This window comes from Homo sapiens, chromosome 14 (assembly GCF_000001405.40).
Source record: "Homo sapiens chromosome 14, GRCh38.p14 Primary Assembly".
NCBI lineage: Eukaryota > Metazoa > Chordata > Mammalia > Primates > Hominidae > Homo > Homo sapiens.
Window position 1 is genome coordinate 70931720 of NC_000014.9, and position 27658 is coordinate 70959377.

The 27658-nt window shown below is 38.0% G+C and overlaps 1 protein-coding gene and 1 long non-coding RNA gene across 21 annotated transcripts in view; one reads left to right on the forward strand and one right to left on the reverse strand.

The window, feature by feature from the left end:
- Positions 1–27658, forward strand: part of PCNX1 (pecanex 1) — a 207924-nt gene that overhangs the window by 24261 nt on the left and 156005 nt on the right. For 15 of the 19 annotated variants that reach the window (XR_245673.5, XR_007063992.1, XM_005267420.5 and 12 more), the window contains exon 2: positions 15196–15404. Coding sequence is in view for 17 of the 19 variants with exons in the window: in XM_005267420.5 (XP_005267477.1) it covers positions 15196–15404 (209 nt within the window). In the remaining 2 variants the exon portion in view is untranslated. Of the gene's footprint in view, positions 1–889; positions 13567–15195; positions 15405–27658 lie in introns of those variants that run through there. The other 4 variants (XM_005267424.4, XM_047431123.1, XM_047431125.1 and 1 more) reach the window with 1 other exon arrangement.
- Positions 345–26833, reverse strand: LOC105370557 (uncharacterized). Of its 2 annotated transcripts, none has more exons than XR_944008.3 (3): positions 26747–26833; positions 17861–18039; positions 345–380 (listed from the first exon to the last, which is right to left on the reverse strand). It is a non-coding gene; the product is annotated as an uncharacterized LOC105370557 (long non-coding RNA). The 2 variants fall into 2 exon arrangements; XR_944006.4 differs by lacking the exon at positions 345–380 and adding an exon at positions 14113–14618.

Genomic DNA, 27658 nt, shown 5'->3' on the forward strand with positions numbered 1-27658 from the left:
AATATGCTAGTGGTTGTTTCTGCCATAGCTCACTAGAAGCACCGTTTTCTTAACTTGGTAGTTGGGAACATTCAGAGATCTCAGACCACACAAAGAGAAACAGGGATTTAAGAATGATCTAGGGCCAGGCACGGTGGCTCACGCCTGTAATCCCAGCACTTTGGGAGGCCAAGGCGGGCGGATCGCCTGAGGTCGGGAGTTCCAGACCAGCCTGACCAACGTGGATAAACCCTGTCTCTACTAAAAATACAAAATTAGCTGGGCGTGGTGGCACATACCTGTTATCTGTCGCAGCTACTCGGGATGCTGAGGCAGGAGAATCGCTTGAACCTGGGAGGCAGAGGTTGCAGAGAGCCGAGATCGCGCCATTGCACTCCAGCCTGGGCAACAAGAGCAAAACTCCATCTCAAAAACAAAAACAAAAAGAATAATCGAATAATCTAAATAAATTTAGTGTTTTAAATTTGGAAACGAAACTTTTTCAACTTTTTCTAATAGCTGGATGTGAAACTATAGCATATAAGGCAGCAAAGGACAGCTTCCGGGGAGAGACAATTGTATTTATTTGTTATACATTTATAGCTAAACATTTTGAGGAAAAACATCTAGTACAAGGAGATGTGAAGAAATGTAAACTTCGGGGTATCTTTGTGTTTTGAAAGGGTGATCTAGATTGTTTTATTTTTACTTTCTATGATTTTTCTTACAATTAATCTACCTTTTTAGAGAGACAGTAAGACACAGGCTTCATGTTTGTATCTATTTTTAAATTTTTCCTTTATTGTGCTAACAGACTCTGTTCCTAGTCCCTAGTCAGTTACCTTTTATGTCAAATAGTGACATGTCTATTGAAGTTTTTATTTTTATTTATCTAATTTTATTTATTTATTTATTTTTATTTTTATTTTTTGAGATGGAATTTCGCTCTTGTTGCCCAGGCTGGAATGCAATGGTGCAATCTTGGCTCACTGCAACCTCCGTCTCCTGGGTTCAAGCGATTCTCCTGCCTCAGCCTCCCGAGTAGCTGGGATTACAGTCATGCGCCACCATGCCCGGCTAATTTTGTATTTTTAGTAGAGACGGGGTTTCACCATGTTGGTCAGGCTGGTCTCGAACTCCCGACCTCAGGTGATCCGCCTGCCTCGGCCTCCCAAAGTGCTGAGATTACAGGCTTGAGCCACCACGCCCGGCCAAGAAGTTTTTATTATTTTTCTAGGGATTTTTATGGAACCAATTGCATTTTTTACAATAATCCTAAACCATTGTTTTCTAGTGTAAACTGATACATTTTCTCACTGAGGGGGAAGACACCAAAAAACATGAAGGTATAATCCAAAATTGTAAAACTACTTTAAAAAATTAATTATAATTATTTTGCTTGGAGAGCAAGCTAGAGGAGCTGTTTTCAGAATTTTGTTACTAAATGCCACTGTTGAATGTGCCTTGATTTCATACATGATGAAAGAGCAATTACTGGCCTATGTTTACTAGCAGCTACTTTGCTTTACTGTTGGAAGAAACTGGTGGTGTTGGCGGTGATAGATTTGTAGTTGGCATGTATGAAGGAGAAGAGCTTGATGACCTTTTGTTTGGGTTATTGGTTAGAGAAGAAAATAATTTTTCATTTAGAGTAGAGATCAGCAAACTATGGCCCATGGAGGTTTTTGTATGCCCCATGAGCTAAGAATTATTTTTACATTTTTAATGCTTGAAAAGAAATTCAAAAGAAGTAATATTTTGTGATGTGTGAGAATTATATGAAATTTGGATTTGTGTCTATAAATGAGGTTTTATTGGAACATAGCATGTTTATTTGTTTATATATCTATGGCTTCTTTTATGCTATAACAGTAGAGTTGAGTAGTTCCAACAGATCATCTACAAACTGAAGTATATGTTGTTTTGGCCCTAAGAAAAAAGTTTGCTGATCCTGACTGTGCAGCCAAACTGCTCTCTAATGTCTAGTCTTGTGCCTTAGTTTCCCTATCTTGAAAATGAGAAGAATAATAGAGCCATGAGGTGATTGTGAGGGCTAAATGAGTTAGTATACTTAAAGTGCTTAAAAATATACCTTGCACATCATAATCACTAAGTATTAGAAGTTAGTTGACATTAAGTGTTAGATTTAATTGATAATCACTTTGTAACATAGACTGGAAAAGATGCATTGAAATCCATTCTGTTGGAGAACAGCTACAAGTATATTAAGGAAGCAGGCTTTGGCTACAATGTACTTCCAGATCTTGAGCCAGTGGTGAAGGAGATAGTGAAAGTTATCAATCCAAAACAAAACCTTTACATTGCTGCACAAGGAAAGGAGTATTGTATAAAAGATTGCATTTTTACCTTGCAAAGTGCTAGCCAAATTATTCACTTGAGTTTTTAAATGAAATAATAAGGTTACCTCGTGACTGTAATAATTCTGGTATGACCATTTCTGTGATGCCAAGCGGCGTTTTCAAGAGTCCTATTAGAAATGTATTTGGCATCTTGAATAGCTTGAACCTATTACTCCTGGATGAAATTGCGCAATTTTTAGTGTTAAGGATAAGCTGTCAGAATTTAAGAAGACTAAACTGTGGGGTAAATGGCTCGGTTTCCCAGCTTGTTTCTCAACATTTGGTTTTCTTCCCTTACTGGAGAGAAAACAAAGTGAAATATTTATCCATCTAGCTTAAAAAAAATTGTGGTAAAAACACATAATATAAAATTTATTATCTTAACCATTTAAAAAATTTTTGTTTCAGAGACAGGGTCTCACTATGTTGCCTAGGCTGGACTTGAACTCCTGGGCTCAATTGATCCTCCCCCCTCAGCCTCCTGTGAGTAGCTGGGATTACAGTCATAACCACTGGGTACAGACATTTTAACCATTTTTAAGTATACTCTTCAGTAGTGTCAGTGTTGAAATATTCACATTGAAATTACACAAGTCTCTAGGAAGTTCCAAACTTTCCCAGATCTTCTTGCTCACTTTGGACTTGAAAAAATAAAACATTAAAGTAGTCAGATTTATAGAAACACAAAGTAGGTGGTGGTTGCCAGGGCATAGGGGAAAGGAAGTTGTTGTTTAATAGATAGAGGGTTTCAGTTTTGTAAAACGAAAAAGTTCTGCAGATAAGTTGCATGACAATGTGAATCACAATTACAGGAAGGGTTTATGATCTATTATGATCTGCTGGTAATAATTGTCAGCTGCTCTGGAATCAGCTGAGAGTCCAGTGAAGTAATCCAAGTAGAGTAGAGAATAAGTTTAAACTAAGTCACCAGACAGACCGGTGTGTATGCACTTTTACCCCCTTTGGGAAAAGTTAAACTGTTACAGCACAGCTGTCCTTTGTCACCCAGAAACCTCAAGAGTAATCACTGGCAGGGCTTATGCATTTAGATCAGATAGTGGAAAATAAATGTGTAACTTTTGTAATTTGAATAGAAAATACAAGTATCGTTCATCAGGTACTGGTTTCCAGTATGTAATGGTCACCTAAATTTTTATTTTGTTCAAAGTCTTTTCTCTGTTCAGTGCTCTTAAAAAAGAAATTCTGAGCTGGGCACAGTGTCTCATGCCTGTAATCCGAGCACTTTGCAAGGTTGAGGTGGGAGAATCACTTGAGGCCAAGAGTTTGAGAACAGCCTGGGCAACATAGCGAGACACTGTCCCTACTTTTAAAAGGAAGTTCTACACTTAATATGTACATCTTGCACATTTCAGTGTGTTTTTGGCACCCAGTTGGCCACTGCTCTTAGCAATATAATAGTAGGGGGAGAGAGTTTATTTAGGTGTGTTTTAAGCATTCATGATCTTTGACTCTTTTTGTAGAGGCAGATCCTGTAGACCATTCAGTGTTAAGTACTCTGTTTTATCTTTTCCTATTTGGCAGAGCCATTAATATTTTCGATGAATTTGTCTAACACTGAGTAATAATGTTGGGGTTGTTGCCTTTCTGTCCACTTAATTAATATCAATCGTTTTTATCTTAATGTGGACTACAGTGAATTACAGTGGAACTCTTTATTTTTTGACATTTTACATTTGAAAATGGAATTGGCAGTGTGGTATATAGCAAAATAGGCACTGAAATAGGCATAAGAAACCTCGCTTAATATTGATATTAAGATGGGTGATCATGGCTAAGTCATTAAAATTCCTGTCTGGAAATGAAGGTATTGAACTAAATAATTTCCAGGAATTCTGGTTTTTATGACCAGTATTTCAGATGGAAACCAGTGTCACACAATTTTTTTAAATTCTCTGAGATGTATATGTGTTTATATGTATCAAAGCAGTTTGTGTTGTGTGTTTGAGAGTGGTTATTTTGCTCAGAAAAGGCTATTCAGAGTATTTTGTTTTTCATAATGAATATTAGATTTATTAAAGCTATAAATTAAACAACTAGGAATTTTATTTTTATTTTTTATTTTTTATTATACTTTAAGTTCTAGGGTACATGAGCACAACGTGCAGCTTTGTCACATATGTATACATGTGCCATGTTGGTGTGCTGCACCCATTAACTCGTCATTTACATTAGGTATATCTCCTATTGCTATCGCTCCTCCCTCCCCCCACCCCACGACAGGCCCTGGTGTGTGATGTTCCCCACCCTGTGTCCATGTGCTCCCATTGTTCAGTTCCCACCTATGAGTGAGAACATCTGGTGTTTGGTTTTCTGTCCTTGCGACAGTTTGCTCAGAATGATGGTTTCCAGCTTCATCCATGTCCCTACAAAGGACATGAACTCATCCTTTTTTATGGTTACATAGTATTCCATGGTGTATATGTGCCACATTTTCTTAATCCAGTCTATCATTGATGGACATTTGGGTTGGTTCCAAGTCTTTGCTATTGTGAATAGTACTGCATTAAACATACGTGTTGCATGTGTCTTTATAGCAGCATGATTTATGATCATTTGGCTAAGTACCCAGTAATGGGATGGCTGGGTCAAATGGTATCTCTAGTTCTAGATCCTTGAGGAATTGCCACACTGTCTTCCACAATGGTTGAACTAGTTTACAGTCCCACCAACAGTGTAAAAGTGTTCCTATTTCTCCACATCCTCTCCAGCACCTGTTGTTTCCTGACTTTTTAATGATCACCATTCTAACTGGTGTGAGATGGTATCTCATTGTGGTTTTGATTTCCATTTCTCTGATGGCCAGTGATGAAGAGCATTTTTTTATGTGTCTGTTGGCTGGATAAATGTCTTCTTTTGAGAAGTGTCTGTGTATATCCTTTGCCCACTTTTTGATGGGTTTGTTTGATTGTTTTCTTGTAAATTTGTTTAAGTTCTTTGTAGATTCTGGATATTAGCCCTTTGTCAGATGGATAGATTGTAAAAATTTTCTCCCGTTCTGTAGGTTGCCTGTTCACTCTGATGGTAGTTTCTTTTGCTGTGCAGAAACTCTTTAGTTTAATTAGATCCCATTTGTCAATTTTGGCTTTTGTTGCCATTGCTTTTGGTGTGTTGGTCATGAAGTCCTTACCCATGCCTATGTTCTGAATGGTATTGCCTAGGTTTTCTTCTAGGGTTTTTATGGTTTTAGGTCTAACATTTAAATCTTTAATCCATCTTGAATTAATTTTTGTATAAGGTATAAGAAAGGGATCCAGTTTCAGCTTTCTACCTATGGCTAGCCAGTTTTCCCAGCACCATTTATTAAATAGGGAATCCTTTCCCCATTTCTTGTTTCTGTCAGATTTGTCAAAGATCAGATAGCTGTAGATGTGCGGTATTATTTCTGAGGGCTCTGTTCTGTTCCATCGGTCTATATCTCTGTTTTGGTACCAGGACCATGCTGTTTTGGTTACTGTAGCCTTGTAGTAGAGTTTGAAGTCAGGTAGCATGATGCCTCCAGCTTTGTTCTTTTGGCTTAGGATTGTCTTGGCAGTGCGGGCTCTTTTTTGGTTCCATATGAACTTTAAAGTAGTTTTTTTCCAATCTGTGAAGAAAGTCATTGGTAGCTTGATGGGGATGGCATTGAATCTATAAATTACCTTGGGCAGTATGTCCATTTTCACAATATTGATTCTTCCTATCCATGAGCATGGAATGTTCTTCCATTTGTTTGTGTCCTTTTTTATTTCGTTGAGCAGTGGTTTATAGTTCTCCTTGAAGAGGTCCTTCACATCCCTTGTAAGTTGGATTCCAAGGTATTTTATTCTCTTTGAAGCAATTGTGAATGGGAGTTCATTCATGATTTGGCTCTCTGTCTGTTATTGGTATATAGGAATGCTTGTGATTTTTGCACATTGATTTTGTATCCTGAGACTTTGCTGAAGTTGCTTATCAGCTTAAGGAGATTTTGGGCTCAGACGATAGGGTTTTCTAAATATACAATCATGTCATCTGCAAACAGGGACAATTTGACTTCCTCTTTTCCTAATTGAATACCCTTTATTTCCTTCTCCTGCCTGATTGCCCTGGCCAGAACTTCCAACACTATGTTGAATAGGAGTGGTGAGAGAGGGCATACCTGTCTTGTGCCAGTTTTCAAAGGGAGTGCTTCCAGTTTTTGCCCATTCAGTATGATTATTGGCTGTGGGTTTGTCATAGATAGCTCTTATTATTTTGAGATACGTCCCATCAATACCTAATTTATTGAGAGTTTTTAGCATGAAGTGTTGTTGAATTTTGTCAAAGGCCTTTTCTGCATCTATTGAGATAATCGTGGTTTTTGTCTTTGGTTCTGTTTATATGCTGGATTACATTTGTTGATTTGTGTATATTGAACCAGCCTTGCATCCCAGGGATAAAGCCCACTTGATCATGGTGGATAAGCTTTTTGATGTGCTGCTGGATTCGGTTTGCCAGTATTTTATTGAGGATTTTGCATCAGTGTTCATCAAGGATATTGGTCTAAAATTCTCTTTTTTGGTTGTGTCTCTGTCCGACTTTGGTATCAGGATGATGCTGGCCTCATAAAATGAGTTAGGGAGGATTCTCTCTTTTTCTATTGATTGGAATAGTTTCAGAAGGAATGGTACCAGTTCCTCCTTATACCTCTGGTAGAATTTGGCTGTGAATCCCTTTGGTCCTGGACTTTTTTTGGTTGGTAGGCTATTAATTATTGCCTCAATTTCAAAGCCTGCTATTGGTGTATTCAGGGATTCAACTTCTTCCTGATTTAGTCTTGGGAGGGTGTATGTGTCCAGGAATTTATCCATTTCTTCTAGATTCTCTAGCTTATTTGCGTAGACGTGTTTATGGTATTCTCTGATGGTAGTTTGTATTTCTGTGGGATAGGTGGTGACATCCCCTTTATCATTTTTTATTGCGTCTATTTGATTCTTCTGTCTTTTCTTCTTTATTAGTCTTGCTAGTGGTCTATCAATTTTGTTGATCTTTTCAAAAATCCAGCTCCTGGATTCATTGATTTTTTTTGAAGGGTTTTTTGTGTCTCTGTCTCATTCAGTTCTGCTCTGATCTTAGTTATTTCTTGCCTTCTGCTAGCTTTTGAATGTGTTTGCTCTTGCTTCTCTAGTTCTTTTAATTGTGATGTTAGGGTGTCAATTTTAGATCTTTCCTGCTTTCTCTTCTGGACATTTAGTGCTATAAATTTCCCTCTACACACTGCTTTAAATGTGTCCCAGAGATTCTGGTATGTTGTGTCTTTGTTCTCATTGGTTTCAAAGAACATCTTTATTTCTGCTTTCATTTTGTTATGTACCCAGTAGTCATTCAGGAGCAGGTTGTACAGTTTCCATGTAGTTGAGTGGTTTTGAGTGAGTTTCTTAATCCTGAGTTCTAGTTTGATTGCACTGTGGTCTGAGAGACAGTTTGTTATAACTTCTGTTGTTTTACATTTGCTGAGGAGTGCTTTACTTCCAACTGTGTCGTCAGTTTTGGAATAAGTGCAGTGTGTTGCTGAGAAGAATGTATATTCTGTTGATTTGGGGTGGAGAGTTCTGTAGATGTCTATTAGGTCCACTTGGTGCAGAGCTGAGTTCAATTCCTGGATATCCTTGATCACTTTCTGTCTCGTTGATCTGTCTAATGTTGACAGTGGGGTGTTAAAGTCTCCCATTATTGTGTGGGAGTCTAAGTCTCTTTGTAGGTCTCTAAGAGCTTGCTTTATGAATCCGGGTGCTCCTGTATTGGGTGCATATGTATTTAGGATAGTTAGCTCTTCTTGTTGAATTGATACCTTTACCGTTATGCAATGGCCTTCTTTGTCTCTTTTGATCTTTGTTGGTTTAAAGTCTGTCTTATCAGAGACTAGGATTGCAACCTTGTTTTTTTTGTTTTCCATTTGCTTGGTAGATCTTCCTTCATCCCTTTATTTTGAGCCTATGTGTGTCCCTGCACATGAGATGGGTCTCCTGAATGCAGCGCACACTGATGGGTCTTGACTCTTTATCCAATTTGCCAGTCTGTGTCTTTTAATTGGAGCATTTAGCCCAATTACATTTAAGGTTAATATTGTTATGTGTGATTTTGATCCTGTCATTATGATGCTAGCTGGTTATTTTGCCCGTTAGTTGATGCAGTTTCTTCCTAGCATCAATGGTCTTTACAATTTGGCATGTTTTTGCAGTGGTTGCTACTGGTTGTTCCTTTCCATGTTTAGTGCTTCCTTCAGGAGCTCTTGTAAGGCAGGCCTGGTGACAAAATCTCTCAGCATTTGCTTGTCTGTAAAGGATTTTATTTCTCCTTCACATATGAAGCTTAGTTTGGCTGGATATGAAATTCTGGGTTGAAAATTCTTTTCTTTAAGAATGTTGAATATTGGCCCCCACTCTCTTCTTGATTGTAGAGTTTCTGCCAAGAGATCAGCTGTTAGTCTGATGGGCTTCCCTTTGTGGGTAACCTGACCTTTCTCTCTGGCTGCCCTTAATATTTTTTTCTTCATTTCAACTTTGGTGAATCTGACAATTATGTGTCTTGGAGTTGCTCTTCTTGAGGAGTATCTTTGTGGCATTCTCTGTATTTCCTGAATTTGAATGTTGGCCTGCTTTGCTAGGTTGGGGAAGTTCTCCTGGATAATATCCTGAAGAGTGTCTTCCAACTTGGTGCCATTCTCCCTGTCACTTTCAGGTACACCAGTCAGACATAGATTTGGTCTTTTCACATAGTCCCATATTTCTTGGAGGTTTTGTTCTTTTCTTTTTACTCTTTTTTCTCTAAACTTCTCTTCTCACTTCATTTCATTCATTTGATCAATCACTGATACCCTTTCTTCCACTTGATCGAATCGGCTACTGAAGGTTGTGCATGCATCACGTAGTTCTCATGCCATGGTTTTCAGCTCCATCAGGTCATTTAAGGTCTTCTCTACATTGTTTATTCTAGTTAGCCATTTGTCTAATCTTTTTTCAAGGTTTTTAGCTTCTTTGTGATGGGTTCGAACATCCTCCTTTAGCTCGGAGAAGTTTGTTATTACTGATCTTTTGAAGCCTACTTCTGTCAACTCGTCAAACTCATTCTCTGTCCCTTTGTTCCATTGCTGGCGAGGAGCTGCATTCCTTTGGAGGAGAAGAGGCACTCTGATTTTTAGAATTTTCATCTTTTCTGCTCTGGTTTCTCCCCATCTTTGTGGTTTTATCTACCTTTGGTCTTTGATGATGGTGACCTACAGTTGGGGTTTTGGTGTGGATGTCCTTTCTATTTGTTAGTTTTCCTTCTAACAGTCAGGACTCTCAGCTGCAGGTCTATTGGAGTTTGCTGGAGGTCCACTCCAGACCCTGTTTGCCTGGATATCACCAGTGGAGGCTGCAGAACAGCAAATATTGCAGAATGGCAATTGTTGCTGCTTGATCCTTCCTCTGGAAGCTTCGTCTCAGAGGGGCACCCGGCTGTATGAGGTGTCAGTCGACCCGTACTGGGAGGTGTCTCCCAGTTAGGCTACTTGGGGGTCAGGGACCCACTTGAGGAGGCAGTTTGTCCATTCTCAGATCTCAAACTCTGTGCTGGGAGAACCACTACTCTCTTCAAAGTTGTCAGACAGGGACGTTTAAGTCTGCAGAAGTTTCTGCTGCCTTTTGTTCAGCTATGCCCTGCCCCCAGAGGTGGATTCTACAGAGGCAGGCAGGCCTCCTTGAGCTGCGGTGAGCTTCACCCAGTTAGAGCTTCCTGGCAGCTTTGTTTACCTACTCAAACCTCAGCAATGGCGGACGCCCCTCCCCCAGCCTCACTGCTGCCTTGCAGTTTGATCTGAGACTGCTGTGCTAGGAGTGAGCGAGGCTCTGTGGGCGTGGGACCCTCCGAACAAGGCGTGGGATATAATCTCCTGGTGTGTTGTTTGCTAAGACCATTGGAAAAGCACAGTATTAGGGTGGGAGTGTCCCGATTTTCCAGGTGCCATCTGTCACAGCTTCCCTTGGCTAGGAAAGGGAATTCTCCAACCCCTTGCACTTCCCGGGTGAGGTGATGCCCAGTCCTGCTTTGGCTTACACTCTGTGGGCTGTACCCACCGTCCGACAGGCCCCAGTGAGGTGAACCCTGTACCTCATTTGGAAATGCAGAAGTCACCTGTCTTCTGCATCGCTCACGCTGGGAGCTGTAGACTGGAGCTTTTCCTATTCGGCCATCTTACAACTAAGAATTTTAAACTCAACTCTTTACAGGTCTAACATATTTTAACAATAATTAAAAAGGTTTTTTTTAAATAAAGACCTTATCAAATTGCACTTGTAAATTTAGTATTCATTTTTAAGGATTTAAATTATCTGACAAATGTTTGCAAGTTGAGAGGCTATAGAAAAAACAAACTCTTCTCCTACTATGCTATCACAGCACAGAACACTTCTGACAGCAGATGTGTGGGGGTGTCCCCACACACCAAGCAGTCAACCAATTTCTGCAGCAGGTGCTTCAGCAGATACCAGCTGGGTATCCTCCAATTCAATTCAATTCTGACACTGTCTACCTGGAGATACTATTAATACAAAGGATACAAATGAAAAGTTGCATGAGGCAAGGCATGTGGGAAGGGCCCTGGAGCTTCCATGCTGTCTCTGGGCATGCCACCCTCCAGAAACCTCCATGTGTTAGGTATCATGAAGCTCCTGAGTCCAAGCCTTTTGGGTTTTTATAGAAGCTTCATTATGTAGTCATGATTGATTACATCATTTGGTGATTAATATGGTTTGATTTTGTGTCCTCACCCAAATCTCACCTTGAATTGTGATAATCCCCACATATCAACTGCAGGACCACGTGGAGATAACTGAATCATGGGGGTGGTTCCCCCATGCTGTTCTTGAGATAGTGAGTTCTCACCAGATCTGATGGTTTTATAAGGGGCTTCCCCCTTCGCTGGGTACTCACTTCTTTCTCCTGCTGCCCTGTGAAGAGGTGCCTTTTGCCATGATTGTAAGTTTCCTGAGGCCTCCCCAGCCATGCAGAAATGTGAGTCAATTAAACCTCTTTTCCTTATAAATTACCCAGTCTCGGGTATTTCTTCATAGCAGCATGAGAATGGACTAATACAGTAAATTGGTACCAGGTAGTGGGGCACTGCTGAAAAGATACCCAAAAATGTGGAAGTGACTTTGGAACTGGGTAACAGGCAGAGGTTGGAACAGTTTGGAGGGCTCAGAAGAAGACAGGAAGATGTGGGAAAGTTTGGAACTTCCTAGAGACTTGTTGAATGGCTTTGACCAAAATGCTGATAGTGATATGGACAATGAAGTCTAGGCTGAGATGGTCTTAGATGGACATGAGGAACTTATTAGGGACTGGAATAAAGGTGACTCTTGCTATGCTTTATTAGCAAAGAGACTGGCGGCATTTTGCTCCTGCCCTAGAGATCTGTGGAACTTTGAACTTGAGAGAAATGATGTAGGATATCTGGTGGAAGAAATTTCTAAGCAGCAAAGTGTTCAAGAGGTGACAGAGCATAAAAGTTTGGAAAATTTACAGCCTGATGATGCAATAGAAAGCACAACCCCATTTTCTGGGGAGGAATTCAAGAAAGCTGCATAAATTTGCATAAGTAACGAGGAGCCAAATGTTAATCACCAAGACAATGGTGAAAATGTCTCCAGCGCATGTCAGAGGTCTTCACGGCAGCCCCTCCCATCACGAGCCCAGAGGCCTAGAGGAAAAAATGGTTTCTTGGGCGAGGCCAGGGCCTTGCTGCTTTGCACAGTCTCTGGACTTGGTACCCTGCATCCCACCTGTGGTTAAAAGGGGCCAATGTGCAGCTCAGGCTGTTGCTTCAGAGGGTGCAAGCATCAAGCATTGGTGCCTTACATGTGGTGTTGGTCCTGTGGATGCACAGAAGCCAAGAATTGAGGTTTGGGAACCCTTGCCTGGATTTCAGAGGATGTATGGAAGTGCCTGGATGTCTGGGCAGAAGTCTGCTGCAGTGGTGGAGCCCTTATGGAAAACATCTGCTAGGGCACTGTGGAAGGGAAATGTGGGGTTGGACCCATCCCATGCAGAGTCCCCACTGGGCATGGCCTAACAGAGCTGTAAGAAGAGGGCTGCTGTCGTCCAGTCCACAGAATGGTAGATCCAACAGCTTGCACCATGTGCCTAGAAAAGCCACAGACACTCAGTGCAAGCCCATGTGCCAGCCAGGAGGGGAGCTGTACCCTGCAAAGCCACAGGGATGGAGCTGTCCAAGGCCATGGGAGCCCACGTCTTGCATCAGTGACCTGGATGTGAGACATGGAGTCAAAGGAGATCATTTCAGAGCTTTAAAATTTGACTGCCCTGCTGGATTTTGGACTTGCATGGGGCCTGTAGTCCCTTTGTTTTGGCCAATTTCTCCCATTTGGAATGAGTGTATTTACCCATTGCCTGTATCCCCATTGTACCTAGGAAGTAACTAATTTGCTTTTGATTTTACAGGCTTATAGGTGGAAGTGACTTGCCTTGTCTGTGATAAAACTTTGGGCTTGGACTTTTGAGTTAATGCTGGAATGAGTTAAGACTTTGGGGGACAGTTGGCAGCACGTGATTGTGTTTTGAAATGTGAGGATGAGAGATTTGGGAGGGGCCAGGGTGAAATGATGGCTTGGCTCTGTGTCCCTACCCAAATCTCACCTTGAATTGTGATAATCCCCATGTGTCTAGAGTAGGACCAGATGGAGATAATTGAATGATGGGGGCATTTCTGCCCTTCAGTTCTTGTGATAATCAGTGAGTTCTCATGAGAACTGATGGTTTTATAAGGGGCTTCCCCGTTCGCTTGGTATTCATTTCTCTCTCCTGCTGCCCTGTGAAGCGGTGCCTTCTGCCATGATTGTAAGTTTCCTGAGGCCTCCTCAGCCATGTGGAACTGTGAGTCAATTAAACCTCTTTTCTTTATAAATTACCCAGTCTTGGGTATTTCTTCATAGCAGCATGAGAGTGGACTAATACAGTGTTCAGCTCATCCTACAGCCCCTCTTCCCTCCCTGGAGGTTGAGAGTTGGGACTTCAGTCCAACCCTCTAATCAGGAGGTTGGTTCCCCTGGAAACCAGCCCCGGCTCCTGAGGCTATCCAGGAGTCCCCAGGCACCAGTCAAGCTAATAGTGAACAAAAAGACACCAGTTTGGAGATTCCAAGGATTTTAAGAGTTTTTGCCAGAAAATGGGGATGAAGACCAAATACATATTTCACAATATCATACAGGTACTCAACTCTTCCAAATCTGATATTTATGCATTTTGTAAACTTCTAAATATATTTCCCAACTTAAAATTATAAGCCCAAACCAGTTATTCAGTAACATTTTAAGTTGGAATCAGAAGTTTAATTTTTTAGATACATTAATATGCAGGACTTCTTAATCCAAGTATTTAAAAATAACAAATATTTAATATATACCTATTATGCCGACACTCAACACAAAATTATTAATTTGTGGACTTTATGTTTTTCCATCCTAATTTCAACCCACACTCTTTCCCTCTCAAAAACTTTTCTTTTTTTTTTAAAGAAATTTGATCATACCTGTATTCTAAACCTGTCTGGCCCATAAAGACCTTTTTATTTTTGTCTCAAGTGATTTGAGGTTAACTTTTTTTTTTTTGAAATGGAGTATCACTGTGTCACCCAGGCTGGAGTGCGGTGGCATGATCTTGGCTCACTAGAACCTCCACCTCCCAGGTTCAAGTGATTCTCCTGCCTCGGCCTCCCAAGTAGCTGGGATTACAAGTGCCCACCACTACGCCTGGCTAGAGGTTACTCTTTTAAAGCCAATTTGGGGTCATGTTCTCAGATAACTGAGATTGAATCTTGTGAAAACATGTGGGATCTAGAGCTATAGATGTCTGGGTGATTTTTCTCATGAAATTGGGATAAGTTGAGCCTAGTTGTATTACCTCTGCCAGTAGTGACTCTAGGCCTTGCCTTCCCAGTGAGCTGTTCTCCAAGCCTGCCACCTGTGGACTCAAGTTCCCCATCACTGAATCCTCCTGTGTGATGGGCCTTCAGCCCCACACCCAGGATGTTTGGCTGACTTATTTTATTTAATCTGTTACTTGATTCTGTCCTGTGTTCTTTTATTCTTTTTGTTTGGCAGGCCACAATTTTTAAGTATTTTAAATGTTTAACTATTTTAAAATAAAACCCACCTGGATTTTGCATGTCTTCCATATCTTACCTGGTTTTACAGTCACAGTTCTAAGGTCATTCTCATGACAGTTTTAACTTCCAATTTTCTGGAATACGAAGAATGTATCCTAAAAAACGGTTGCACAGAGCCCATAAAGAGGCATTATATTTGGATCACAACCTTGATTTCTTCACATATACTGTAATGTGATACCTTTGTTCTCCAATTGTATGATAAGGCTTTTGGCATGGACTGTATACCTGTGCTGTCCAGTGGGAATGTAATGCAGGCAAGCCATATATGTAATTTAACATTTTCTAGTAGCCACATTAAATAAAAAGAAACACATGAAATTAATTTTAATAATGTTTTATTTGACCAGTATAATCTAAGTATTATTTCAACATGTAATCAACATTAAAATTGAGATATTTTACATTTTTTATATTGAATCTTTGAAATGCAGTGTTTATTCTCACTTTACATCTCAGTTCAAACTAGCCATATTTCAGTTACTCAGTAGCCACATGTAGCTAGTGTCTTTTGCATTGGGCATTGAAGCTGCTAAGTTTTGCAGCTTAGCGCTAGTAACATAGTTGTTGCTTTGTGTGTAAATGTGTTTATTATTTTAGATACAGATTTATCTAATTGAATACGATATAAAATATTTTAAAATGTATTTCCTTATTTTCTTTCTCTTAAAGGCCCTTCCTTCTACCATGATTATAGTAGCAGTTTATTGTCCTGTGATAGCTGCTGTTTTCATTGTTCTGAAGATGGTCAACTATCGACTACACAGAGCACTTGATGCTGGAGAAGTTGTAGATAGGACTGCAAATGAGTTCACGGATCAGCGAACCAAAGCTGAACAAGGCAACTGTTCAACCAGGAGAAAAGACAGCAATGGACCGAGGTAAGGAAACCTATGTCATTGATTGATCGTAATGATTTAGATTGTGTTATCTGTATAATGATGTGATTATTATATTGTACTTGTTTTCTTTATATGGTTTTAAGGCAGTGTTAGATCTTACCACTGTAGATACAATGATGGGTACATATTTTAATATTAGAACAGAGCTAAGCTAACTGGTGTGTTTGGGGGATTAAATCAATATTCTTGGCCTCATTACTAGACAGGTTAGAACAGTACTGTTGCGGGAAGACAGGGACCCCGAACAGAGGGACCAGCTGAAGCCATGGCAGAAGAACATAAACTGTGAGGATTTCATGGACATTTGTTAGTTCCCCAAATTAATACTTTTATAATTTCTTACGCCTGTCTTTACTGCAGTCTCTGAACATAAATTGTGAAGATTTCATGGACATTTATCACTTCCTCAATCAGTACTCTTATAGTTTCCTATGCCTGTCCTTTAATCTCTTAATCCCGTCTTCTTCTTAAGCTGAGGATGTATCTCGTCTCAGGATCCTGTGATGATTGCGTTGTCTGTATAAATTGTTTGTAGAGCATGTGTGTTTGAGCAATATGAAATCTGGGCACCTAGAAAAGGAAGAGGATAACAGCGATTTTCAGGGAACAAGGAGATAACCATAAAGTCTGACTGCCTGCGGGCTGGGCGGAACAGAGTCATATTTCTCTTCTTGCAAAAGCAAATAAAAGAAATATCGCTGAATTCTTTTTCTTAGCAAGGAGCAGCCCTGGGAAAAGAATGCATTCCCAGGGGGAGGCCTCTAAAATGGCCACTCTGGGAGTGTCTGTCTTACGCAGTTGTGGATAGGGGATGAAATATGCCCTGGTCTCCAGCAGCGCCCCCAGGCTTGTTAGGATTGGGAAATTCCAGCCTGGCGAAATTGTAGGCAGACTGGTTCTCTGCTCTTGAACCCTGTTTCCTGTTAAGATGTTTATCAATGACAATCTGTGCATAGCGGGACAGTGAACCTCATCAGTAATTCTAATTTCGCCCTGGCATTGTGACCTTGCCCTGCCCATTTGCCTTGTGATATTTTATTGCCCTTGAAGCATGTGATCTCTGTGACCCATACCCTATTCATACACCCCTCCCCTTTTGAAATCCATAATAAAAACTTGCTGGTTTTGTGGCTCAGGGGGCATCACGGAACCTGCCGACATGTGATGTCTCCCCTGGACAGCCAGTTTTAAATTTCTCTCTTTTGTACTCTTTCCCTTTATTTCTCAGACCGGCCAACACTTAGGGAAAATAGAAAAGAACCTACGTTGAAATATTGGGGGCTGGTTCCCCTGATAAATACACTACTGTATGATAGTTACTTACACTAGAGACCAAAACCAGCAGCCTAAAGAAATTATTCAGCATGGCTTATAAATCTCAGCATTTATTTTTATTTACTCATATAAATAAAATGTATGTGTGTGTATATATACACATATGCATATATAGATATGTGTATATATAGATGTGTATATATACACATATATAGTTGTGTATATATAGATGTGTATATATACACGTGTCTATATAGATGTGTATATATACACGTGTATATATACACACATACACATAAGTGTATATACATATATATGTGTATATGTACATATATGTACATATACACATATATGTATAGTGTATATATACTTATAAATGCTTATAAATCAGCATTTATTTTTATTTACTCGTATAAATAAAATGTATGTGTGTATATATACACATATGTATATATAGATATGTGTATATATACACACATACGTGTATATACGTATATATGTGTATATATGTACATATATGTACATATACACATACGTATATGTGTATATACACTTATAAATGCTTATAAATCTCAGCATTTTTATTTACTCGTATAAATAAAATGTGTGTGTATATATACACATGTATATATAGATATATGTATGTATAGACGTGTATATATACATGTGTATATATACATACATGTATATACGTATATGTGTATATATGTACATATACACATATGTATATGTGTATATATACTTATAAATGCTTATACATCTCAGCATTTACTCATAGTGTGTATATACACATGTATATATAGATATATGTATGTGTATATACACACGTGTATACACACACACGTGTATGCACACACGTGTATACACACACGTGTGTACACACATATGTGTGTAGATACACACGTGTATACACGCACGTGCATACACGCACGTGCATATATACATATATAGACACATACGTGTATATACATATGTGTGTGTGTGTACATATATATGTACATATATACACGTATATATGTGTATATATGTATAATATACACATACGCATGTGTATATATATACACACACACCTTAAGCAAATTGTGATATTTTACTTGACATTTATAAGTAGTATACTTTACTTAACCTATTGTAAATTTGTTTGAATTGTATATTCTTACCTTAGAAACTTAGCTGTTTCTTTCCTAGATCTTTGCAAGACTGACTTCTTAGGATTCAACTGTGATTCGATGTCAACTCCTCCTGGAGGCTTTCCTTTCCCATCCCAGCTGAAGTGATCCCCCTGTTGCTCAGTCACATTCTGTAGCATGACCTTGGCCTTGCCCACTTTCCACTTTACCTATTTGACAGAAGTGTCTACTTTATTCATAGTCAAAAGTTTGTGACCTTACAGAAATTAATAGGTACCCCTAATATAACTCTTGGAAAATTTGTGAACACTTGACATACCTCAAAACAATTCTAGCAGGTAGATGCTGTTATTATCCCTGATTTACAGATGTGGAAACCAAGTTGAGAAAGATCAAATAATCTAAGCAGTTGTTTCCACTGAGCATAATATGAAATATTTCAGACATCAAGACATAAATAATGTAAGAAAAAGTGGGCACTCCTCTCTTAAGACAGGTGATATTTCTGTATATTTTCCAGGGCATTGAAAGCCTTTGTTTATTCCTTTTCAATTACATTTTTTTCCTTATTCTTAACATGAGTACCCTGTTTGTTAATTAAACACGTATTTTAGCCTCATAATTTTTGTTTATTGCCTTAATCACTATCTGAAATTATCTTAACATTTATTTGCATTGATGAACTTCTTGAAGGTAATGACCTTATTGTTCTTATAAACTATTATATTCCCAGTTCCAAAATCAGTGTCTGGCAATGATAGGTACTCAGCAAATATTTGAAGTAGTGAAAACGATTATTCTGTGATATTATGTTTAATGATGCACAGTATCTCATTATGCCAATGTATTTTATCCTATTTTAAATTATATCAATCATTTTGAAATTTAAATATTAGATAACTGTGATGTTTAAATTTTCAATGATTAAATGTTCTATCATAGTTTTTCAGAGGTGGAATTACTAGAAATGCTATGCACATTTATAAGTTTTCCAATATGTATTGCCAAATTCCCAAGATTTTACCATTTAATGACTATGACCAGAAATTCAGCTGCCTCTTTTTTTTGCACTTTTGACAACTCTTGAGTATTTAGTATTTTGAAAAACTGTGATATCTCATTGTTTAATATTGTTTAATATGTAAATAAATTATTGTTTAATATTCCCGTTTTTGAATTACTAGTGAAATGGAGGTATTTTTCTTATTGCCATTTATATTTGTTATTCTGTGAATTGTATATTTTTCTATTGGTGGATTTTTTTTTGCTATTGATTTTGGAACTTTTTTTAAATAAAATATATTAGCTCTTCTGTGTCAAATACTCTTCCTCAGTTTATAGCATTTTATTTGTCAGTGTCTTTATATCCTGTAATTTATTTTTCTGTGGTCCAATTTTGTGTGTTTGTTATTTCTGCTTTTGATAACGTTTTCTAAGATTTTCCTTCCCTCAAATTATATAAATATACAATAAATTAAGATCTTTGTATCTACTTTCAGTATTTTTATCATTTTACTTTTTACTCTTAAATTGTTGTCAGTTTGAAAACATTTTAACTTAATTTGTTTAGGTTTGTTTATCACAACACCATTCATTAAGTAACAAATTTTTTCCCTGTAAATTTAGATGCTTTCTTTTTCATGTAGTATACTGTATATACTTATGCTAGTTTCTGAACTTAGTTTTCTGCTTCATCTTTCTGCCTTTTTTCATTTATACCATACTGTTTTTATCATAGTGGCTTTATAATATGTTTAATACTTAGCATTGTGAGTGACTCCAGTATTTTACTTTTTTGATATTATTATTTTTTTGGGGGGCGGGGGTTGGTTGGTTGTTTGTTTTGAGATGGAGTCTTGCTCTGTTGCCCAGACGAGTGCAGTGGTGCGATCTCGGCTCACTGCAACCTCCACCTCCCAGGTTCAAACGGTTCTCCTGCCTCAGCCTCCCAAGTAGCTGGGATTACAGGCATGCACCACCACGCCCAGCTAATTTTTGTATTTTTAGTAGAGACGGGGTTTCATCATGTTGGCCAGGCTGGTGCTGGACTCCCGACCTCAGGTAATCTGCCTGCCTCGGTCTCCTGAAGTGCTAGGATTACAGGTATGAGCCACCACACCTGACCTTTTTTGATATTATTTTGATTATTCTCATGCATATACTTACTTTTGTGAGATATCTTCATGTGTGCTTATCCTCCAGAAAATTTCGTTAGAATTTTGATGACAATTCTATTAAATTGTAGAAACTCAACTTTTAAAATAGGGATATAGATGAGAGATTTCCATTTATTTTCTTATGTTTTTATTTATCATCTCTTTATTCACTTATCTTTTATGTCTTATAACCTTTCACATTTTTTAAATGGTTTCTGTACATTTCCTACGCCTATTCTATTTCTGTTAAGAAATGCATATTCGTACATTGTGGATAAGTGGACAGAATGTAGACTTCACACTCAGTCAGTCAAGGCTTCTTAATTGTAAGACATTGGAGAAGCTACTTAAGCTTTTGAGTTGGCTTTCTTGTCAGAATGATGAGGAAAATAATGGAACTCTCTCATAGGATTATTACAATGAATAAATGAAATAATATATAGAGAGTTCTTAGAATAATTCCTGACACATGGTAACACTTGATAATTGTTCTAATTATTTCTGGATATTATATATATTTGTCATTGCTTCTGAATTGTTTTTTCCATTTTCTTTTACTTTAAAAATTTTTTATTGTGAAATATGTATTCCAAACACTAAGTTAGCAATAATCAAGTGACTACTTCATTACCTACCACACAGCTTAAGAAATAAAACATTATAAAAATACCATATAAGCTTCATGACATTCCTCTCCCATTTCATTCCACTTTTCCCTTCAGGAGTAACCATAATCTTGAATTTTTTGTGAATAACTCCCTTGCTTTTCTTTATTGTTACACACTCTTCGTAGATATTCCTGAATATATTTATTTATTTTTGTCTGCTTTAGGACATCCTAAGAGAATCATACAGTATGCATTTCTCTATGAGAGATTTTTTTTTTGCACAGTATATTATACTTTATTGACTCACGCATGGTGATGTTTGTAGCTAGAGTTTATTCATATTGACCTACATGTAGTCTGCCACTGTAAGAATAGACCATAGTCTATTTATTCATTCTTCTATTTATAGCCATTCAGATTATTTCTAGTGTTTTTTGTCTTGTGGTACATGTGTATATCTAGTTTATGTAAGCTGGTTTATAGGGCATTTTCATGTTCAATTTTATCAGGCAATTCCAAGCTGTGTGCCAAAATGATTTTACCAGTTTATACTCTCACCGGTAGTGTATGAAAGTCCTTATTGTTCACATCTTCATCAACATTTGATATTGGTAAACCTTAAAAATTTTCCATTCACTTAGCTATTGATTTGGGATTTAAAAGAAGAAAATTGGCTGGGCAAGGTGGCTCCTGCCTGTAATCCCAGCACTTTGGGAGGGAGAGATGGGAGGACAGCTTGAAGCCAGGAGTTCCAGATCAGTTTGGGCAACATAGTGAGACCTTGTCTTTACAAAAAATAAAAAATAAAAAAAAATTTTAGCTAGGTATGGTGGTGTGCACCTGTAGTGCCAGATACTTGGGAGGCTGAGGCAGGAGGATCACTTGAGACCAGGAGTTCAAGAGTTCAGTGGGCTTTGATCACACCACTGCACTCCAGCCTGGGTGGCAGAGCAAGACCCTGTCTTGAAAAAATTTGCCATTCATGAAATGTAAAAGGTGTCTCATTGTGACTTTCAGTTAAGCTTTCTGATTACTACTGAGGTTAAACATTTTATTTTTTTATATATGGTCCATTTAGGTTTTTTCTTTTTTCCAATGCTCATTTATGTTTTGTTTCATTTTTCTTTGGAGCTGTCTTTTTCTTAATGATTAATAGGAATTTTTTATTTTTTTATATATTCATGCTATTCCTTTATTAGTTATGTATATATTACAGTCATCTCCCACTTGTGGCTTGTCATTTTGCTTTCCTTAAAGTTTCTTATGATTATCATATACTCTTAAATTTAGAACAATGAAATTTACCACTTTTTAGTAATCAGGTTTTTTGTTTTTTGTGTTTTTTTCTTTCTTTTTTTTTTTTTTTTTTTAATGAATTGGAGTTTCACTTTTGTCGCCCAAGCTGGAGTGCAGTGGCACAGTCTCAGCTCACTGCAACCTCTGCCTCCTGGATTCAAGCTAGTCTTTTGCCTTCCCTCCTCAGTAGCTGGGATTACAGGCATGTGCCACCACACCTGGCTAATTTTGTATTTTTAGTAGAGTTGGGGTCTCACCATGTTGGCCAGGCTGGTCTCAAACTCCTGACCTCAGGTGATCCACCCGCCTCAGCCTCCCAAAGTGCTGGGATTACAGGCGTGATCCACGCGCCTGGCTAGCATTTTTGTGTCTGAATTATTTTCTACACGGAGATCAGAAAGGTATTCTGTATTGTCTTTTTGAAGTTTCATGTTTCTTTTGTTTTCACATTTCAATTCTACCCAAAGCTATTTAAGTCTGTAGTATCAGGTAGGTTCTTAAGGCTTATTTTTTTCTTTATGAATCTCTGATTTACCCAGTATTTGTTAAGTGGACTATCTTTTCCTTAGTAATTTGCAGCAGTCTCTATGGCATAAGCTAAATTTTCATTTCTGGTGGCTTGTTTCTGGGCTCTCTGTTCTGTTCTGTTCTGTTCTGTTGATCTGCTTGCCTGTGCCATTACCATACCATCCTTATCAGCTTTAAAACATGACTCTTGATAGCCAGTGGGTTAAACCTCCTACCATATTCTTTTTTAGGAGAGACTTCGCTATTCTTGGCTCTTTGATTTTTGATGTAAACTTCAGAGTCTGCTAGAGAAAGTCTATAGGAACTTGGTATTTTTATTGGAGCTACACTAAATTTGTAGGTCCCTCTGCTGAGAATTTGCATCTTTACAATATTGAATCTCTCCATTTATTTAGTCTTTTTAAATACCTTTCAGTAATAGTTTTTCATTTTCTCCATTAAAAGGAAATTTATGATTTTATAGTATTTATGCTAGTATAATTTTGTTTTTCCCCCTAAAATGTCGCAGTTTATTTTGTGTCTAGCAATCTTATTAAACCCCCTTATTAATGATGTTCCCTTGTCTATATGATCACAATTATTTCTTACTTTCTAGTCCTTATACTTCTTGTTTAATTTTTTTCACTGGCTATGATATGTAGCACATGGTTAAATTGAAGTATTATTGGTGTACATCCTTGTCTTTTTTCTAATCTTTAATATTTTTAAGTTTCACTAGTAAGTAAGATCTTTGTTGTAGGTTTTTGTTTTTGACATCTCCTTTCCTCACCCTCACACTTGTGAATCTCATGTTCTGTTCTGAGGAAAAGAAATGAATAGGAAAATAAATACTTGTGTATCTAGATCCTATCACTGTGCGTGGTACATTGTGGCTCTCAGTTTGTTGTGTGAATGAATAAATATAGCAGAACTACTTGAGCTTTATGGTTTTCATTGGTCTCTCTTTTATGTGGTACAGCAGGTAAAAAATGGTTCAATCTTTTAGAGAAAGAATCAGTCACTAATTTTTTTTATATTTCTAATGCTTCAGGAAGTAACATTGAATTTTAGGATTTGAATACAAACATTTGAAGAAAGATCATGGTTTCTGTATGTTTCTCATGGCAGTAATGCTTATGATATTGTAAACTACGGATCAATTTAAACTGTATGAAGCTGGATTTTAGGCTGTTTTCTGAGAGAGATTATTTTGTTTAGGAACTTTGTTCCTGTGAATATAGGAACTTCGTTTTTATCCTTATTCTTATGAGCATCATTTTACTCCAGATTTACAAACTTGGTATTGTAATGGTGTTGCAAAGTTTCTGATCAAAGCCTGAGAGCATGAGCAATAAATATGATACTAATAATCAACAAATTAGTTTGTGAAGACTTCTCTGTAATTCAGATTAGATCCCTTCTGCTTTTCTGCCTTTCCCTGTACCTGGTTTGTTTTTTTTCTTAACAGATGGGGAAGTTAAGGCATAAAGGTAGATATTACCTGAATTTGTTGTATTGCTTACTGCAGTAGACCACTTTGCTACTGTGAGAATTATAAACTACTATGCTTTCCAGGTATGTGCTGAAATCTCCATTGCTGCAAACCTGCAAGTCTTGCCAATAAAGAAAACTCTTACTCAGCTATTTTATATGTTTAGCTATATTTAGAACATCTACAGCTTGGCTAAGAGTTTTACTTCTGAATTTATAGAGAAGAAAGAAGTGCAGAAATTTTACTAGAGGGTTTTTTTTTTTAAATGAAAACCCCTGTTCATTTTTTCTCTTCATCATTTTTATTCCTTTGATATCTCCTTTCTTCCCACACATTGTTGTTTGTTGACCATTAGTTCTAAATCATTATTTCTCAACTGGGGGTAATTTTGTCCCCCAGGGCACATGTAGCAATGTCTGGAGCTTTTTTTGGTTGTCACACTGAGGGGCTGCTGCTGACATCTAGTGGGTAAAGGCCAGAGATGCTGCTAGCCATCCTACAATGCAGTCAAAAATTATTTGCCCCCAAAATGTCAATAGTACTGAGTTTTAAAATCCCTGCTCTAAATAATGGTGTTTACTTTCGGTTTTGACCTGGAAAGAGACTAGTGCCTATTTGGTGTAAGGCAGTATGTTTTCTTAGAAAGAATAAGGGCCAAGCGCAGTGGCTCACGCTTGTATTCCCAGCACTTTGGGAGGCCAAGGTGGGAGGATCCCTTGAGGCCAGGGTTTTGAGACCAGCCTGGATAATACAGTGAGACTCTGTCTCTACCAAAAAAATAAATAAATAAATAAAAAATTAGCCGGGTGTGGTGGCATGGGCATGTAGCAGCCCCAGCTACTCAGGAGGCGGAGGTGGGAGGATCACTTGAGCCCAGGAGTTTGAGGCTGCAGTGAGCTATGATTGCACCACTGCACCCCAGCCTGGCTGACAGGGCAAGACCCTGTCTCTTAAAAAAACAAAACAAAACAAAAACACAAAAAAAGCAAGAATGTGGGCTTTAGGGTTTCACAGACCTGGTTTTTGAGCCTTATCTTAGGCCATGCTGGTTATGAGTACGTGTGTTCAAGTGTGTGGGAAATAAAGAAAGAACAGATATGATAACTTATTTGCAGAATGCTGAGGAGGTATTATTTCTGTCCTCCCCTCCCACGTGAACTCCAGGTACCAGTGACTCAGTTTATGTTTCATTCCTCCTCTGAGACGTTAGGCAAGTTTTTTTGCCTTTTGGTTTTCAGTTTTTTCAACAGTAAGAGGAGAATAATAACTGTAAGAGGAGAATCATATCATAAATATTAGGGAAGGTTTCATCAGAAAATGCAAATAAAGCACGTACTGCTATGACTGGATATAATAAGTACTGAGTAAATATTTGTTTTTATTATATTATTATTATTATTATTTTGAGACAGGGTCTTGCTCTGTTGCCCAGGCTGGAGTGCAGTGGTGCAATCATAGCTCACTGCAGCCTTTACCTCCCGGGCTAAATCTGTCTACTAACCTCAGCCTCTTGAGTTGCTGGGAGTACAGGCACATGCCACCACACTTGGGTAATGTTTTTGTAGAGATGGGGTTTTGTCATGTTGCCCAGTCTGGTCTCGAACTCCTGGGCTCAAGTGATCTGCCCATCTTGGCCTCCCGCGTGCTAGGATTACAGGCATGAACCACACACCCAGCCTGTTTTTATGTATTATTAATAATAACTGTATGTTCAGATTGTAATAATTTGGACTTGCTATCAAAAGTGATGTATAAAACTAGGCAAGATTATCCATCAGTTGATGACTGGATAAACAAATGTGGTTTATCCATAGAGTGGAATATTACTTGGCTATAAAAAGGAATGAAATACTGATGCATGCTACGACGTGGATGAACCTTGAAAACATTATGCTAAGTGAAAGAAGCCAGACACAAAACATCACATATGATTCCATTTATATAGAATGTCCAGGACAGGGAAATCTGTAAAGACAGAATGTAAATTAATGGTTGTCTAGGGCTAAGGAGGATGGAAAGGGACGGGTAGTAATGGTTAAAGGGGTTTGTTTTTGAGGTGATAAAAGTGGTCTAAAATTGGCTTTGGTGGTGGTTTCATAATTTAATGAATACGTTAAAAACCATTGAATTATACAGCTTAAAAGGGTGAACTGTACGATATGTGAATCATATTTCAATAAAGTTGACATATGTGTATGTATATGTGTGTGTGTATGTATGTGTGTGTATATATATAGAGAGAGAGAGAGAGACTAGGCAAGATGAGGGCTGTCTCTCCTTTCTGTGTTGTTATTTCTTAATCTGTACTTTGCTCTCCATCTTCTGTTTTCTTTGGATCTCACTTAGAGGATGCATTCTAGTGGAGAAACCATAATATTGCTGAATATTTGAATATTCATTACTAATTTAATGTGGTGATAGTGCCTCTATATACATACTTAAAGTTTTTCCAATTTAGAAAAATTTCTCCTCTGTCCTACATAGCTTATATGAGTTAACACCAGACAGCTTATAAACATGAACATGTTCTACATTTCTCACACATGAGTATTTGTATACTGAATTGGCCATATGTTTACCTGAGTTCCAATATATTTTATTTTTATAAATGGATAGTAAGTTAGAAAGCTAGTTTTCTTTGTTGAACCTTAGTTAGCTACTGTAGTCAATGGCTTAGAGTTAGGAACCTGTTACGCAAACAGGGACATTATAATTATGAGATAATTGATAATAAAAACACACTAGAGTTCAAACTGCTATAATGTTAAATACTTAAATGGAAAATTATATATTGCCTATATCTTTTGATTGCAGCTGTCAGAATACCCAAAAAAGTTTAAGGGAATTTACTACTCACATTACTGAAAAGTCTGCACATGAGGGATGTCTTCAGATGTGTCAGGATGCAACGTTTCAAACTGTCACTTCATGTCCCTGCTTCTCTTCTTCTCGCCAGTCTCTGTTCTTTTCTATTATTTTGGCTTCTTAGAACAGGCTGCCCCTTAATGGTTATAAGATGGCTGCAGCACCTCCAGGCCTTAAGTCTCAACATTAAGAGTAGCAGATATAGAGAAATTTCCTCCCACCAATAAGACACTCCTGGCCTGATTCAAACTAGCCTGGGTTGGGTCCTGTGCTTATTCTAGAGCTAATCTCAATGACCAGAACAATGGGATATGCTGATGACTGGACAGTAGAGCCCACCCCTAAACCTGAGGGTGGGGTCAACATTACCCAAAAACCTATGAGAGTTTGAGATGAGGTGGTTCACCTGAAGAATTTGGGGTTGCTTTTTTTTTTTTTTTTTTTTTTTTTTACATAATCAGGAGGTTGAATTGGATGCCAGATAGCAAGATATATCCTCTGTAATGTCCAACACATATATTGTAACTTTTATCCAGATAATAGCAAAAAAAAAAAAAAAAGATTATATATAGACTATTGACTACTTACTCTGTTTATACCAGGTAGAATTAGTAAAAAACTCTGGGCAAAAAGTAGGATTATGACTTATTCTAAGAGTTGTCTTCCTGAGGAACCTTATGTAGCATTTTCTAAGTTTTGTGAAATTTGGTGTGTGGTTTTTTCCCCGTAAATCTGGGTTCCTGTTATCTTTTTTTTTTTTTAATTATTATTATACTTTAAGTTTTAGGGTACATGTGCACAATGTGCAGTTTAGTTACATATGTATACACATGCCATGCTGGTGAGCTGCACCCATTAACTCGTCATTTAGCATTAGGTATATCTTCTAATGCTATCCCTCCCC